Source organism: Homo sapiens, chromosome 2 (genome assembly GCF_000001405.40).
Source record: "Homo sapiens chromosome 2, GRCh38.p14 Primary Assembly".
NCBI classification, from domain to species: Eukaryota; Metazoa; Chordata; class Mammalia; order Primates; family Hominidae; genus Homo; species Homo sapiens.
This window is the reverse complement of record NC_000002.12, coordinates 96,305,858-96,323,328: the sequence shown is the minus strand read 5'-3', so window position 1 is coordinate 96,323,328 and position 17,471 is coordinate 96,305,858. Positions and strand designations below refer to the sequence as shown.

General features: G+C 46.8%; 6 annotated features.

Annotated features, from left to right (window-relative positions):
• Window positions 1,185-1,444: a silencer, noted in NCBI's record as "silent region_11763". NCBI's record gives its function as "represses an Ori minimal core promoter by ATAC-STARR-seq in GM12878 lymphoblastoid cells {active_cell/tissue: GM12878}" and the evidence as "EXISTENCE:reporter gene assay evidence [ECO:0000049][PMID:35858748]".
• Window positions 2,395-2,504: an enhancer, noted in NCBI's record as "active region_16216". NCBI's record gives its function as "activates an Ori minimal core promoter by ATAC-STARR-seq in GM12878 lymphoblastoid cells {active_cell/tissue: GM12878}" and the evidence as "EXISTENCE:reporter gene assay evidence [ECO:0000049][PMID:35858748]".
• Window positions 3,658-3,727: a silencer, noted in NCBI's record as "silent region_11762". NCBI's record gives its function as "represses an Ori minimal core promoter by ATAC-STARR-seq in GM12878 lymphoblastoid cells {active_cell/tissue: GM12878}" and the evidence as "EXISTENCE:reporter gene assay evidence [ECO:0000049][PMID:35858748]".
• Window positions 7,252-7,301: an enhancer, noted in NCBI's record as "active region_16215". NCBI's record gives its function as "activates an Ori minimal core promoter by ATAC-STARR-seq in GM12878 lymphoblastoid cells {active_cell/tissue: GM12878}" and the evidence as "EXISTENCE:reporter gene assay evidence [ECO:0000049][PMID:35858748]".
• Window positions 16,074-16,702: an enhancer, noted in NCBI's record as "H3K27ac hESC enhancer chr2:96972365-96972993 (GRCh37/hg19 assembly coordinates)". NCBI's record gives its function as "activates a minimal SCP1, AML or CMV promoter by ChIP-STARR-seq in naive H9 embryonic stem cells {active_cell/tissue: H9 hESC(naive)}" and the evidence as "EXISTENCE:reporter gene assay evidence [ECO:0000049][PMID:30033119]".
• Window positions 17,295-17,374: an enhancer, noted in NCBI's record as "active region_16214". NCBI's record gives its function as "activates an Ori minimal core promoter by ATAC-STARR-seq in GM12878 lymphoblastoid cells {active_cell/tissue: GM12878}" and the evidence as "EXISTENCE:reporter gene assay evidence [ECO:0000049][PMID:35858748]".

The window sequence follows — 17,471 nt, the reverse complement described above, 5'->3', positions numbered from 1 at the left end:
AGCCTCTAGCATCCTCTGTTCTACCTTTTACTTCTATTACATCAACTTTTTCTAGGTTCCACATGTGACTGAGAACATGTGGTGTTTATCTTTCTGTGCCTGGCTTATTTCACTTAATATCCTCCAATTCCATCCAAGTTGCTGCAAATGACAGGATTTCATTTTTTTTTATGGCCAAATAGCATTCCATTGTGTACATATACCACGTTTTCCTTATTCATTCATCTATTGTTGGACACATAGGTCAATTCCATATTGGCTATTCTGAATAGTGCAGCTATAAACATGAGGGTGCAGATTTCTCTTTGATATAATGATTTCCTTTCCTTTGGATAGATTTTAAGTAATGGGATTGCTAGATCATGTGAGTAGTTCTACTTGTAGTTTTCTGAGGAACCTCCATGTTATTCTCCATAGCAGCTGTGCTAGTTTACCCAACAGCATATCAGAGTTCCCTTTTCTCCCCATTTTCACCAGCATCTGTAAAACCATATGCTTAAAAATGTGTGTTCATGGTTAAGGATTTGTTTTAAAAGTGGTTGCTGGACAGGCGCGATGGCTCACGCCTGTAATCCCAGCACTCTGGGAGGCCGAGGCAGGCAGATCACCTGAGGTCAGGAGTTCGAGACCAGCCTGGCCAGCATGGTGAAACCCCGTCTCTACTAAAAATACAAAAAAAAAAAAAAAAAAATTAGCTGGGTGTGGCGGTGCATGCCTGTGATCCCAGCTACCAGCCTGGCCAGCACGGTGAAACCCCGTCTCTACTAAAAATACAAAAAAAAAAAAAAAAAATTAGCTGGGCGTGGTGGTGCATGCCGGTGATCCCAGCTACTCAGGAGGCTGAGGCAGGAGAATCGCTTGAATCCGGGAGGTGGAGGTTGCAGTGAGCTGAGATCGCACCACTGCACTCCAGCCTGGGCAACAGAATAAAACTCCTTCTCAAAAAAAGAAAAAAAAAAAAAAAAGAACATGCTATGGCTTACTCCCATTATGTGTGTGTGTCTGTGCATCACATGCCTCGGAAAAGTTTCAAAGGGTGGATCCCTAAATGTTTACAGTGATCTTCTGAGGGTGGAGGGATTGATTGCAGGTGTCTAGCAATAAGGAGGTATTCTTTTCACAAAAATAAACATGCAGTGTCCAGCGTATGAATGGGCTGTGTGCCCAAAGCCCTCCCTCGTGTGCCTCGTGAGCACAAAACACGTTTTCTACAGAAACAGGTGCGCCTAGGACCGCTAGAGACGCTTTGCGCCGGGGCAGTGTCTTCACGGTTCGGAGAGCTGGGAGTGGAGGTGGGGGGAGGTTCCTCATCCTCGCCAGCTTTCTGGGCCCCAGGAGCCGCCTCCCTTCGCCCCCGACCCCGCCTCCGTCCCCCAAGCCGCGGACGCGCCTTTTCCGCCGCCTCCAAGAGCAGCCGCGGGGCCGCCCCCAGGACGCGTTGTTCGCTGCCGGAGTTTGGGGTGGCAAGGACCGGGCGCACGGCTGAGATGCGCTGCCCTCCAGAATGCGAGCCTGTGCACGCGCCTGCGGAGGGGCCACACTCCCTGCAGCGTCCGCGATGCGCTGTTCCCGCTGGCGCTCGGCGGGCGCTCCCCTGGGCACATCGAGGCTCTAGTGACCGCATTATGAATTAGTCCTTTCCTTTTCTCCTCATGTGATTGCAGCGAGCGCTCGTCTTGTTTGTAAATCGTGCTGGCAAGCCCCGTTTTAACCAACTACGAATTTCATTTCGGAATGAAAAAGGAGACGCACTTTCGGACAGGGCAGCGGTTGCCGCCGGTCCTTCCTCTGAGCTACCGGTCCCTAGAAGGAAGACCTGCCTTCGACCGATCTGGAAATGAGTCCCAGCTGCAAGCCCAGGGCGGCGGAAGCCCCACGGGCCGAGCCGAAGAAAGACGAGGCGGGGGACGGGGAGCGTAGTGCCGCGTGCCGGGACCCACAACCCCTTTCCCCTGGGCGCTCTTCCCCGAGCGGACAGGAAAAAGCTCTCCTTTGCCGCTGCCCATCCCCCAGGGCCCAAGCGATGCTTCCTAACCGCGTGGACGCAGCTTGATGGGGGAGAAAGAGCTCTGGGAGCAGGGCTTAGAGCCTCGTCTCGCCTCCTGCCAACTCGGTCCGGCAAGGTTCCGAACCTCCCTGAGCCTCAGCTTCCTAATCTGGCAAACATGACGACAAAAGTCCTTCTCTTTTAAGGTTGGTGCAAAAATTAAATGGCCCTTTACTGTATATTTAGAGCACCTGGCTCACGGATTAGTCACCTCGCTCCTGGGCTCAACAGTGTTCACTGGGTCCTTACAGCATCACACTGGGATCCTTAAGGGCAAAGACCAAAATTAGACCTAGCTTAATTCCTGGTGTGCAAGTGCTAAGTGTTATGAAATGAGTGAGTGACAGGATGATCCAGCTATGAGAAATAGGAGAGAGTTTGCGGTGGGATAGAGACTGTACCTTCTTTTTGTATAAGATGTTTGGCAGTTGGGGATAACTTACCGGAAGCAAGCTTAAGATGCACACGAAATCCTGACCAAGAGGATGTAGAAATTAGATATATGGCCAAGAATCAGAGAAGCAAATAAACAGATCTCAAATAAAATGTTTAGTTTTGAGGTTAGAGGTGGGATATCAGGGTAACCAGGCAAAATAACTGATACAATAAATAACTACATGACAAATCACTTCTCTCAACAACACATTTCAAAAAAAATCACTTTATTTTATAACTGCAAGATTTTCTTCAAACCAGTTTCTTGCTATTACAAGCTCAAAAACTTATCCTGCTCTGGTGGCAAACATTTTGTGACTCATGCTGTGTAACAAAGACCTGTGTAGACATTGAGTTGTATATTGCTGATGCTTCTGAACATAAAGGAAAAGTACAAAATTGCCGCCTTTTTCCCAATGATTTGTGGAGGAGAATTATTACTAGACTAGCTGATACCTGTGCATGAAATGCACCACTATTGCTTAATAAATCTGGACCGGGTGCGGTGGCTCATGCCTGTAATCCCAGCACTATGGGAGGCCGAGGCGGGCAGATTGCCTGAGCTCAGGAGTTCAAGACCAGCCTGGCCAACATGGTGAAACTCCATCTCTACTAAAAATACAAAAATTAGCTGGGTGTAGTGGTGGGTGCCTGTAATCCCAGCTACTGGGGAGGCTGAGGCAGAAGAATCACTTGAACCCAGGAGGCGGAGGTTGCAGTGAGCTGAGACTGTGCCACTGCACTCCAGTCTGGGCAAAAGAGCAAGACTTTGTCTCAGAAAAAAAAAAAAAAGAAAAAGAAAGAAAAAAAAAAGAATAGCACTGGGCACGGTGGCTCACACTGTAATCCCAACACTTAAGGAGGCAGAGGTAGGAAAATAGCTTGAACTCAGGAGTTTGAGACCTGCCTGGGCAACATAGCAAGACCCCGTTCTCCACAAAATGGAAAAAAAATCTGAATAGCATATCAATGTGTATTATTTGCTTATTGTATATTTCTTTATAGTTTTTCTCCTCTCAATGTAGCACTTGTACTGTTGGGAGGATAAAACATAGGTGCTCTTGATTAAATAGGGATTTGAAAGATATGAGTAGATTCTGTCTACCATCTGTCCCAATCACTTGTTCATTCCATTCAACAAATATTTATTTATTTATTTATTTGAAAAAGGGTCTGAGTCTGTCACCTATGCTGGAGTACAGTGGTGTGACCTCAGCTCACTGTAACTGCCACTTCCTGGGCTCAAGCCATCCTCCCACCTCAGCCTCCCAGGTAGCTGTGATTAAAGATGCTTACCACCATGCAGCTAATTTTTGTATTTTTGATAGTGACAGGGTTTTGCCATATTGCCCAGGCTGGTCTCAAACTCCTAGGCTCAAGCAATCCTCCTGCCTCAGTCTCTCAAAGTGCTAGGATTACAGGTGTGGGCCACCATGCTCCGTCCCAACAAATATTTATTTGAATGTTTTATAACTGTGAAAGATGTATTTGGACCCGATACAATGAGAGTCTGGAAAGAGTTCTTGGAAATTAAAAACTTGATAATAAATATGAAAAACTCCATACAGAAACTGAAAGTTAAAATTGAGGAAGTCTCCCAAAATTAGAGTAAAAATGTAAAGAGCTGGAGTCAAGAAAATTGCCAAGGACCAACCCAGTAGGTCTAACATTCGATGATTAGTGGCCCCAGAAGGAACATGGGAAATGGAGAGGAAGAAATCTTGTCAAAGAAATAATAAAGCAAGCATCCTATAAAGGGAAGACATTTCCAGATTGAAACTAAGTGCCCAGCCCATGGATGAGAGTAAACTCATACTTAGTCCCTTCATTATGAAATGTTAGAGCACTCAGGTCAAACAGGATTCCACAAGTTTCTGGAGACAAAAAAAACACAGATCACATACACAGGATCAGGACAAATGGTGTCAGATTTCTTTCTCTCTCTCTCTCTTTTTTTTTTTGTTTGTTTGAGACAGGGTCTCAAACAGGTCCAGCCTAGGCTGGAGTGCAGTGGCATGATCTTGGCTCACTACAACCTGCTGGGATTACAGGCGCGCACCACCACGCCGGGCTAATTTTTGTATTTTTAGTAGAGATAGGGTTTCACCATCTTGGCCAGGCTGGTCTTGAACTCCTGAGCTCAAGTGATTCGCCGGCCTTGGCCTCCCAAAGTGGTGGGATTACAGGTGTGAGCCACAGTGCCCTGCCAACCCAGATTTTTAAATACAGCACTAGAATAAGATGAAAGCAAAATGGTTGTAATCCCAGCACTTTGGGAGGCCAAGGCTCGTGGATCACCTGAGGCCAGGAGTTTGAGACCAGGCTGGCCAACATGGTGAAATCCTGTCTCTACCAAAAGTTCAAAATTAGCTAGGTGTGGGGATGCATGCTTGTAATCCCAGCTACTTGGGAGGCTGAGGCAGGATACTTGCTTGAACCCGGGAGGCAGAGGTTGCAATGAGCCGAGATCATACCATGCACTCCAGCCTGGGCAACAAGAGCAAAACAACATCTCAAAAAAAAAAAAAAAAAAAAAAAAAAAAGATGAAAGAGAAATGCCTTTACAATTTTGAAGGAAAATGGTATCCAGTCCAGAATTTTATACTCAGCCAAAGTATCAAACACGTGTGAGAGTAGAATAAAGACAATTTGGGCCATGCCAGGTTTAAAAACAAATATCTAGCCAGGCACGGTGGCTCATGCCTGTAATCCCCAGCACTTTGGGAGGCCGAGGTGGGCGGATCACCTGAGGTCAGGAGTTCAAGATCAGCCTGGCCAACATGGCGAAACCCTGTCTCTACTAAAAATATGAAAATTAGTCGGGTGTGGTGGTGGGTGCCTGTAATTTCAGCTACTCAGGAGGCTGAGGCAGGAGAATCATTTGAACCTGGAAGGCGGAGGTTTCAGTGAGCCAAGATCACACCACTGCACTCCAGTCTGGGTGACAAGAGCCAAACTCGGTCTCAAACAGAAGCAAGTATCTTCCTTGTGCTCTTCTCAAAAAACTGTCCTGGTCTATACCGCAATGCTGCCAATGCCAGACTGCCTTGACCTTTGTGCTTCCGGGAACTGCTTTGTGGCTTTGCCTTCTCACAGCTGGAGTGACCCCCATAGGCTCTCAGGGATGCTGAGGCCAGCTTCCAGGGCAGAACTCTGTGTCATCTCCTCTCCTGGGCCTCCATCTAATGGGGCCATATAGCCCCACATAGCAAGCACAAAAAATGCTGAGTTTGTGCTTGCTACTAACTTTTTCAAAACTGAGCAATATATTGTTCAGATTTCTTTTTTTCTTTTTTTGAGACAGAGTCTTACTCTGTCACCCAGGGTGGAGTGTAGTGGTGCCATCTCGGCTCACTGCAACCTCTGACTCTGGGTTCAAGCGATTCTTGTGCCTCAGCCTCCCAAGTAGCTGGGATTACAGGCGCGTGCCACCATGCCCAGCTAATTTTTGTGTTTTTTTGGTAGAGCTGGAGTTTCACCATGTTGGCTAGGCTGGTCTGTTGTTCAGATTTCATACATACATAGCAAAATCATAAAGCATGAGAATGACTAACATAAAAGTTAAGAAAGTGGTTGCCCCTGGTAGAGGGAGATGAGAGAGAGAAGCAACTGGGGAGGGCCCCCAGGAGTTTCATGAGGTCCTTGGGTGGTAGGCACCCTGCTGTTTGCTTTCTTTCCCTATCTCTTTGCTGCATTGGTATTGCTGCCTATCTCCTTGGCTTTCCCATGGGATGTTGCCCATCTGTTTATGACATGGGCTGGGGATGTTCTAGGATGGGGAGACTACATCACAGATCACACCTCAATGAAGGGCAACAACAGCAGTCACCATTGTAGGTGTTTTATGTGTATTAACTAATTTGATCTTTTCAACATTATCCCTATTTATAGATAAAGTACTGGAGACCCAGATAGTACCAAGCAATTCAGTGTTTTCTGAAGGAAGACAAGTCAGAAGGGTGGCTTGCACCTGCAATCCCATCACTTTGGGAAGCTGAGGCCAGAGGATAGTTTGAGCCCAGGAGTTCGAGACCAGCCTGGGCAACATAGCCAGACCCCCCTCCCTGACATCTCTACAAAAATAAAAATTAAAAAATTAACTGGACATGGTGGCGAGTGCCTGTGGTCCTAGCCACTTGGGAGGCTGAGGCAGGAGGCTCACCTGAGCCCGGGAGTTGAAGTTGGAGGTTGCAATGAGCTATGATCGCATCACTGCACTCCAGCTGGGGTTAGAGTGAGACTTTGTCTTAATAATAATAATAAAGAAAGGCAAATCAAATGTTCAATGCAACTGCATTTTAAGAGCAAGTTTAGAAACCAAAACTTAATCAATAACCCTGTAACTAATAACAATATATATTTTAGTCCCACGTTGAGACAGAGCATGTAGAATGGAGAAAAGACAAAGGAACTAAGTGGGAATGGGAAGGACAAATAGCGGGGAACAAGGGAAGGGCAGTCTTTTCTAGTGCCTACCAGGTTTTCACCTTATCCAGGGGCCAAGAGACCAGCTCTCCAGGGACTAAAACTAGATCCATGAGGACTTGCTTCCACAGAAACCATGTAGAATTTGGGGCCCTGAGTTGTAGAGGGAGTGGAGTTCCCTCCATGTGGATGAGGAGGGGGTGGAGGGTCTGTGTGTCCATCTATTCACTCTTGAAGGGCTCTGGTCCCTGCTTCTACTGAGGTGGTGACCCCTTTATGTTGCCAGCGTCAGATTTCCTGTTTGTGATGCCCTTTAGTTTCTGGCTGTGTTTGCCTGCCTAGGCTTTGTCCTCAGGCTCATCCAGTAGCTGGGATTTTTCTGGCCACAGCCTCCTCTGATTCTGGCCCTGAGGGACTGAGTGTCTTTTATTTCAGGCTGCTCTAAAACCACTCCAGCTGCGCCTAGCACCGCTTCCTGCCACAGGACCGGGGAGGATGGTGACTTGGGTTCCTGTAACAAAGCCCCTTCCGTGAAGTTCCCCAACATACTCAGCTTTTTCCTTAACATAGCTGAGGTTGGGGAGGGGTCCAAAGAATCAGTCGCACAAAGGGAGAGAGCAGCTCTGTTCCAATAAACAAGATTTTGCACGCTCCAGTGCTTTCGGTCCACTGGAAGCTCTATATCCTCATTGCTGATGCCATTTGTCTCAGTTTTAGGGACCCAGTGACTCAGCACCCACAATCATGTTGCCTTTTGGCTGTGGCTGCAAGGCTTGCTGCCCCATAGTTATGACAACATTAAATCCTTTCCATCCAAACTGTCAAAAGTCTGGAATTTTACCCTACTTAAAAGATAGTTACTGTTGCTGTTTCATGGATGCTGGCAGAAGACACAAGACTCCTGGGTCAGAGACAGAATAATTTATGACTCATGGCACAACAATCAGCACTAGCATCCTGTTTGTGTCAATTCTCCTTGCTCTCTCAAGTCCCACAGGGGCAACATGGAGAGGCCCAGGTGGATGCTATGCATGGTACGGTTTGCATTGCAGACAAGGAATTCTGATTTCAGGGAAACTACCTATTTCATGGCCATTCTTCTCTTTGTCCTGATGGAAGACATTACCTTATCCCTCAAGGTTGCCCACTACACATACAGCTCTGGGAAAGGGCCTAGGAAAGTGTGGCCAGGGCCTTGCATTCCTGGCACACCCAGCAAGAACATGCAGGCATGCTCTGGACCATGCAGATTGCCTTTCCCAACACTGACCTCAGACGGTGCTGAAGAATAAAATAGGTTAAATGCCTGGCACATAATAAACTCAACCAATGCCAATAATTATATAATCATTCGAGTTGGTCAAAGAAATTAAGGCAGTTCTGACTACATCACACTCCTGAACATGTACAAAAAGTGACATGTATTAGTTGAATAAGAACTTAAACACAGCCGGGCATGGTGGCTCACACCTGTAATCCCAGCACTTTGGGAGGCCAAGGTGGGCAGATCGCTTGAAAGTCAGGAGTTTGAGACCAGCCTGGCCAACATGGTGAAACCTCGTCTCTACTAAAAATACAAAAATCAGCTGGGCATGGTCATGGTGGCCCATGCCTGTAATCCCAGCTACTTGGGAGGCTGAGGCAGGAGAATCACTTGAACCCAGGAGGCAGAGATTGCAGTGAGCCAAGATTGTGCCACTACACTCCAGCCTGGGTACCACAGCCAGACTCTGTCAAAAAAAAAAAAAAAAAAAGAACTTAAACACTATAAAGGAGAAGGGATCCCTTAAGTTTCTTTTGTCCTGAGACAAAATATATATAAAATATCTAATTACATCTTGCCTTTTAGATATTTTCTTCAATGACATTTCCAAATCATTTGTTCATACTCTCATTTTACTCTCCAACCGAATACATTAGGGATTGGCTTAAGTCCAATGAGCCCCAACTAGTGTGGCAAAGGTTTGTTACTTTTGGCCTGCTTATTGACTTCCAACCGTAGTAAATTATAAAACCTTTGCTTTTTCACTAATATCATCAGTTTTCGTTTTTAAAAGTACCCATTCAGGCCAGGCATGGTGGCTCAGGCCTGTAATCCCAGTGCTTTGGGAGGCCAAGGTGGGAGGATCGCTTGAAGCCAGCAGTTCAAGACTAGCCTGGACAGCAAAGCAAGACCCTATCTCTACAAACAAACAAACAAAAACAAACCAACAAATTAACCTGGCATGGTGACATGTGCCTGTAGTCTCAGCTACAGGCTGTGGAGGCTGAGGTGGGAAGATCACTGGAGCCCAGGAGTTTGAAGTTACAGTGAGCTATGATTGCACTGCTGCACTCCAGCCTGGACAACAGAGCCAGATCCCATCTCAAAAAGAATCCCACCCATTTAATAATCAGGGTGAAATGCAACAAAATATTTATTGCCCCAATGCTGCAGCACTGGCTAAGGCCAGAAGCAATGCCACTAGACTGTGCTGCTGTTGGAAGGGCGGGCAACTTGTCATCTGTCTGAAGAGTGCAGATGTCTATTATGAGAGGCAACTGTGGGGTGCCAGGCACAATGCATGGAGAACTGAGGATAACACCATCAGCTCAAAGATTGCCCATCCTGTGTTGGGCTCTGGCAGGAATTCGCACTTGAGGCTTTCACTAAACCTGCCCTCAGTTGCCTCTGTCTGCCTCCAAGAAGAGCTTATGCTTGGTGACCCTCTTCACAATAGGCACAGTCACCAGTGCATGGAGGGCACTGTATCCACGTCTGTTGGCTTATTTTTTTAAAACTGTTTTTTAGAGGCAGGGTCTCACTATGTTGCCCAGGCTGGTCTCAAATTTCTGGGCTCAAGCAATCCTCCTGCCTCAGCCTCCCAAAGTTCTGAAATTAGAGGAATGAGCCACTATGCCCAGCCTTACTGGCTTATTAAAAAGTTGGTGGTGGCTGGGCATGGTGGCTCACACCTATAATCCCAGCACTTTGGGAGCCAAGGCAGGTGGATCACTTGAGGCCAGCTGACAGCATTCTGGGAACAGCCACCCAACCTAGTCATGTTATTGAATATACCCAGTGCTGGCAACCTGTTATCTCTGCATGAGGCCTGGAGTTTGGGAAACAGTCAGCAGTCATTCAGAACCAAGTTTACTGGGTGGAAGGGCCATCAGGTTGGGTAAGATCATTTGGGATAAGAAAGGATAGATATGACCAAGAATGGGGCAGTTTTCCTTTGTGAGTCATAAAATTGCCTCCAAACACAGAGTGTTTAGAAATGTTTTTAGGAAACAGCGCTGTTGGATAAAACCTTACACTTGCTATTTCCTGGCATGGTTCTAGGTGCCAGACAACCCTATGGCGTAGGTAAAACTATCCCTGTTAGGCCCAGAGTAGCTAAAAATAGGCCTAAGATCACACAGGTAGTAAGGGGTGAAGCTGGGATTTGAACCCAGATGGTCTACCAGAAGAGTCTATACTTTTAACCACCTCATGAAACTGCCTCTTGGTTAAAAAAGACCATTGCCTCCTAAAGTGAAGACCTGGAAGGGAACAAGCCTGTTTAGAAACACACCAGATAGGCCGGGTGCAGTGGCAGACTCATGGCTTATCTGTTTTCTCTTTTTGCTTTCCTTTGGTCCCGCCAGCCTGACTCCTTTTCCTTAATTAGGACTCCACACCCAGCACTGTGAGAATAACCTTTCTGAAGCTCAGCTCTGTGAGGACACCCCCGTGCATAGGGGGTGAAAACAGAAGGCCTGGCTTTGCAGCAGATGAGGCCAGACAAGTCAAATACCTTCTTGGGGCCTTGAGTTCTTCATTGGTAAAATGGGGGACATCAATATATTTCACAGGGCTGCATGGGGATTCAATGAGTTAATGTATGCTAAAGTGGAACTTTACAAATGCTTGTCACATGTACACTAAATTTTTGCTTAATCTAAGTGTTCTTCTGTCTAATCAAATACATGCTATGAAGATGTTAAAAACAAATAAAACTCCCCAGACAAGAAACATGCTATGGCTTCCCGTTGTCTCCTAAATAAAGGAAAAACTCTTCACAATGGCATTTTTTTTAACAGAGAGATTACAGATTCTCTCTCTCTCTGTCATCACATTGTTTCATTCTTTACATTTGCCCTGCAGTCAGCTTAATGGAGCTCTTAACAGTACCCAAGATACACCTCTGTCTTCCCGCCTTCATGCTTCTTCTTTTTCTCTGTCCCTTTGAAATCCCCCACCTCCTGCCTCTACGGAAATCCTTAGCCACCCTTTGCATTACAGCTATAAAGCCTCACAGGCTCTCCTAAGTCAGAAGTGATTTCCCACAGAATGCAGATGACTGCATTCTGCTTTTTCTTTTTCTTTTTCTTTTTTTCTTTTTCAGAGATGTAGTTCTTGTTAACGTTGCCCAGGCTGGAGCGCAGTGGCTACTCAGAGGCATGATCATACCGCACTATAGCCTGGAACTCCTGGGCTCAAGCAATCCTCCTGCCTCCGCCTCACAGGTGTGCACCACCATATTTGTAGTTTTACTTCTCCTGTGAGACTTTAACTTCTCAAGGGTCTTTTCTATGCCTTGTCTTTCTCTGAGTCCCTAAAAGTGCTCACAGAGCACATACAAATATTTGAGACGTAATTAAATGAAGTGACAGGTCTTTAGATACAGAAATGCAGGACACAGGCAGAAGTCTGGGTAACCTGTGCAGGCCTGGGGCTGGGGAGTAGTGAATTCAGAAGGTCATCTTTGGAGAGAGACAGCACATGGACTAAAACGAAGCTAAAGCCCCTTGCTCTGAGCCCATCTTGGTAACTAATGCCATCCCTGGGGTCTGTAACTGCCAGGGTGCCCCCAGTCCTTTAGCTTCCTGAGGATAATCCTCTATTAAAAATTGTCTAAAAACAGGCCGGGCATGGTGGCTCACACCTGTAATCCAGCACTCTGAGAGGCGGAGGCGGGAAGACTGCTTGAGGCCAGGAGTTCAAGACCAGCCTGCATAACACAGCGAAACCCCATCTCTACCAAAAATACAAAAATTAGCTGGGTGTGGTGGTGCATGCCTGTAGTCCCAGCTACTCAGGAGGCTGAGGTGGGAGGATGGTTTGAGCCCAGAAGAGGTCAAGGCTACAGTGAGCTGAGACTGTGTCACTGCATTCCAGCCTGGGCAACACAGGCAGACCCTGTTTAAAAAAAATTGTCTAAAAACAACTTTAGAGAGATAAAAGCTATAAACTATAAAATTCTTTCACTTATTTATTTATTTTTTTGAGACGTAATCTCACTCTGTCAGCAGGCTGGAGTGCAGTGGCACGATCTCAGCTCCCTGCAACCTCTGATTCCCTGGTTCAAGCGATTCTCCTGCCTCAGCCTCCTGAGTAGCTGGGATTACAGGCACGTGCCACCACACCCAGCTAATTTTTTTGTATTTTCAGTAGAGACAGGGTTCCACCATGTTGGCCAGGATAGTCTCGATCTCCTGACCCTGTGATCCGCCCGCCTTGGCCTCCCATAGTGCTGGGATTACAGGTGTGAGCCACTGTGCCCAGCCTAAGAATTCTTTCATTTAAAATGTACTGTTTGGGCTGGGTACAGTGGCTCATGCCTGTAATCTCAGCACTTTGGGAGGCCAAGGCGGGAGGATCACTTAAGGCCAGGAGTTTGATACCAGCCAGGGCAACATAGCAATACCCTGTTTCTACAAAAAAAAAAAAAAAAATTAGCCAGGCATGGTGTTGTATGCCTGTAGTCTCAGCTATTTGGGAGGCTGAAGCAGGAGGATCACTTGAGTCTAGGAGTTTGAGGATGTAGTGAGTTGGGCTTGTGCCAGTGTACTCCAGCCTGGGCAAGAGTGAGACCCTGTTTCTAAATAAATAAATAAATAAATAAATAAATAAACTGTTCAGTGGCTTTTAACATATATTCAGGGTTGTCCACCAATCCCCATCGTGTAATTTTAGAACATCTTCATCACCCCAATAAGAAAACTTGTTCCCATTTGTAGTTATTCCCTCACTCTCCTCCTCAACCTCCTACCCTAGGCAAGCACTACTTTCTGTTTCTATAGACTTGCCTACCTTGGACATTTCATATATGTGGAATCACATAATATGTGGTCTTTTGTGACTGGCTTCTTTCATTTAATATGGTTTCTAAAAACTTGTTTTTGTTTTTTGAGACAGGGTCTCCCTCTTTGCCCCAGGCTGGAGTGCAGTGGCGAGATCATAGCTCACCACAGCCTCAAGCTCTGGGGTTTGCAATCCTTCCACCTCAGCTTCCTGAGTAGCTGGGGCTACAGGTGTGCACTACTATGCCCAACTAATTAATTTTGTTTTTTTTTTGTAGAGACAGGGATCTCTTTATGTTGCCCAGGTTGGTCTCAAACTCTTGGCCTCAAGCAATCCTCCAGCCTCAGCCTCCCAAAGTGCTGGGATTACAGATGTGAGCAACTGCACCAGGCCTTAATTTAATATATATTTTTTGAGACAGAGTCTCACTCTGTCGCCCAGGCTTGAGTGCAGTGGCAGGATCCCGGCTCACTGCAACCTTTACCTCCCAGGTTCAAGTAATTCTCCTGCCTCAGCCTCCCAAGTAGTTGGGACTACAGGCGTGCACCACCACACCTGGCTAATTTTTGTATTTTAATAGAGACAGGGGGCTGGGCTTGGTGGCTCACGCCTGTGATCCCAGCACTTTGGAAGGCCGAGGCGGGTGGATCACCTGAGGTCAGGAGTTCAAGACCAGCCTGGCCAACATGGCGAAACCCCGTCTCTACTAAAAATACAAAAATTAGCTGGGCGTGGTGGCGCGCACCTACAATCCCAGCTAATGAGGAGACTGAGGCAGGAGAATCGCTTGAACCCAGGAGGTGGAGGTTGCAGTGAGGCAAGATTGTGCCACTGCACTCCAGCCTGGGCAACAGCAAGACTCCATCTCAAAAATAAAAAAATAAAAAATAGAGACAGGATTTCACCATGTTGGCCAGGCTGGTCTTGAACTCCTGACCTCAAGTGATCTGCCCATCTCAGCCTCCCAAAGGGTTGGGATTACAGGCATGAGCCACTGTCCCTGGCCTTAATATGTTTTTGAGATTCATTCATGTTGTGGCACACAGCAGTACTTCATTGCTTTTTGTGGTTGAATAATATATTGTATTGTATAGAAATAGCACATTCTGCTTATCCATCATCAGCTGATGAACATTTGGGTTGTTGCAATATTTTGGCTATTGTGAGTAGTGCTGCTATGGACATTTGTGTACAAATGTTTATGTAGACATGTTTTCAGTTCTGTTGGGTAGATTCCTAGGAGTAGAATCGCTGGGTCATAGGGTAACTCTATGTTTAACTTTCTTTTTTTTTTGAGGAGTCTCGCACTGTCACTCAGGCTGGAGTGTAATGGCACGATCTTGGCTCACCGCAACCTCTGCCTCCCAGGTTCAAGCAATTCTCCTGCTTCAGCCTCCCGAGTGGCCGGGATTACAGGCATGTGCCACCATGCCCAGCTAATTTTTATTTTTATTTATTTATTTAGTTTGAGATGGAGGTTCACTCTTTTTGCCCAGGCTGGAGTGCAATGGCATGCTCTCAGCTCACTGCAACCTCCGCCTCCTGGGTTTAAGTGATTCTCCTGCCTCAGCCTCCCGAGTGGCTAGGACTACAGGCTCACGCCACCACGCCCAGCTAATGTTTGTATTTTTAGTAGGGACAGGGTTTCATCATGTTGGCCAGGCTGGTCTCAAACTCCTGACCTCGTGATCCACCCGCCGCGGCCTCCCTAAGTGCTAGGGTTACAGGGGTGAACCACCACGCATGGCTGTTGAGCATTTTTTCATGTGCTTATTGGCCAGTGTATATTTTCTCTGGAGAAACGTCTGTTCAAATTCTTTGCCCAGACCAGGAAAGGTGGCTCAGCCTGTAATCCCAACACTTTGAGAGGCTGAGGTGGGTGGATCGCTTGACCCCAGGAGTTCGAGAGCAGCCTGGGCAACATGCCAAAACCCCATCTCTACTAACAATACAAAAAATTAGCTGGGTGTGGTGTGTGCCTGTAGTCCCAGCTACTTGGGAGGCTGAAGTAGAAGGATCACCTGAGCCTGAAGAGATTGAGGCTGCAGTAAGCCATGATCGTGCCACTGCACTCCAGCCTGAGCAACACAGTGAGATCCCCCATCTCAAAAAAAAAAAAAAAAAAGTAAAATAAATTTCTCTTTGCTTGTGGCTCCTTTAGGTCCTGGCTGACTGTCATTTTCCTGGGCCTCTCTTGCTTCCTGAAGACTTTTCTCTTCCCTTTTCTACATCCCAGTCTAACCCCAGCTCCTCTTTCCTTTCTCATGTGGGGCAGTGACTCCTTTGACTTGTCTTCACTAGACACCTTCCCCCATTTTCAACAAGTTGGCCCAGGAAGTTTCCCTGAGCCCCTTCCGCAGAGTGAGGAAGCACGGCTGTCATTTTTCTTTTCTATCTTTAATTTAAAAATTGTTTTTATTTTTTGAGGGAAGAGTCTTGCTATGTGGGTCAGCCTGGAGTGCAGTGGCACAATCCTAGCTCACTGCAGCCTTGAAGTCCTGGGCTCAAGCAATCCTCCTGCCTCAGCCTTCCAAGTTGTTGGGACTACAGGCACACACTACCAGGCCTGGCTACTTTTTAATTTTTTGTAGAAACAGGGCCTCACTATGTTACCCAAGCTGGTCTCAAACTCCTGGCCTCAAGCAATCTTCTTTCCTCAGCCTCCTAAAGTGTTGGGGTTATAGGCATGAGCCACCACACCCAGCCTGTTGTTTTCTTTTCAAAATCATAATTATTTTCTTCCTTATTTACATTTTAGTGTGACGATTGTTCCAGGGCTGCAGTCTCCTCTTGTGGAAAATAAGGGAACCAGACTACTCCATCTCTAAGGCTCCTACCAGGTCTAACATACTATGGAAACTTATAAGTCCATCTGAATGACTAAATGCAGGATTTACATTTGGTAGAGCCTGATTAGAGAGGAAAAGAAAAGATGGGGAAAGTTTCCTTTTTTTCTTGCTTCACAGGTTTGCCCACAGCCCAGCTGCATCTGTGAACATGAATGCTACTTCTACAGAAACAGAGTGGAATCTCCGAAATACCTTTGAGACCCTTTCGTGTCAGGTGGGTGGGCCACAGCCTGATCATGGAATAAAAGTCAGCCTTAAGGATTCAGATTTCAATAACTTTCAGTGAACCCCACCTTGAGTCAGGCACTTTGCTAGGTGCTTTTAAACACACTATCCCATTTAATCACAATGGGAGGAAGGTTTTATTGCCTCAATTTTTTTTTTTTTAAGACAAAGAGTCTCACTCTGTCATCCAGGCTGGAGTGCAGAGTTTGATCTCGGCTCACTGCAACCTCCACCTCCCAGGTTCAAGTGATTCTCCTGCCTCAGCCTCCTGAGTAGCTGGGATTACAGGCACCCACTACCACGCCTGGCTAATTTTTGTATTTTTAGTAGTGACAGGGTTTCACCATGTGGGCCAGGCTGGTCTCAAACTCCTGACCTCAAGTGATCCGCCTGCCTTGGCCTCCCAGAGTGCTGGGATTACAGGCGTGAGCCAGCGTGTCCAGCCAATTGCCTCAATTTTAAGGATGAGGAAAATGGTGCTCACCGAGAGGCCAGGTAGCTAGCTACTTCAAAGTCACACAGCCACTGAGGAGCAGAGCCATGAGGACTCGACTGTCCCTTGGGAAGACGAGTTATTAAAAAAAAAACAAACACCCACCAAAGCAGCAAACTCCATGCCTACAGGGGCTGGGCAAGTAAAAATAAGGAGATGGGCAGGCATGAGAAAACAGGAGCAGTGGGAAGGACTTGCCTATTCTCTGACCTTGGCAGCTGCTGACCAGCAGCAGGTCATGCCATGCAGCAGTGTGGGTGTCATGTGGCTGATTTTCTAGTATCTCAACTGATGGGGGAGAGCCAGAGTTTGCATGAAATTATCCCAATTTTTAAAGAAGGAGCCAACAGTGAGCCAAACACGATACCACTACAGAACAAATCTGGTCTAGGGGACTGCTATTGAGGATGAATTCCTTTGGCTTAACACCCATCCTCCTGTTCATTCATCTTCTCAAAAGCAAACATGCTCTAAGTGAGGAGGGAGGTCACCTTCAGCCATAAGGCGCCATTCTACTGGCGAGAAGTGGTGGGGAATGTGGGACAGAGAAGACTTTGTAGCTGGGGAAGAAATTAAGTCATAGTCACCAAGGATTTGGCCCTGCCTTCACCGGTTTCCCTGGGCGGCAGGGAGGGCCCTACCATAGAATGTTACCGACAAGTGGGAGCAAATGGGGGCCCCGGCCCTGTTCGTTCAGCTGGGTGAAAACGAGGGTCTTGGGGGCACAGGTTTAGGTGGGATTGGTGGGGGATAGTAGCTTTCTTTTTCAATTGTTGAACACAGAAGAGAAACCCAAAGCAAGGCGCCAATCATTAAAACACACAAACACAGACACACGCGCAAGTCACCTTGCTCGCTGGGTACTTTAGTTACCTCAAACGGAAATGGGGTTTTCGGCCCCTCTTTTCCTGCCTACCTCATGGGACTGTTGCCAAAGAGGAAGGAACC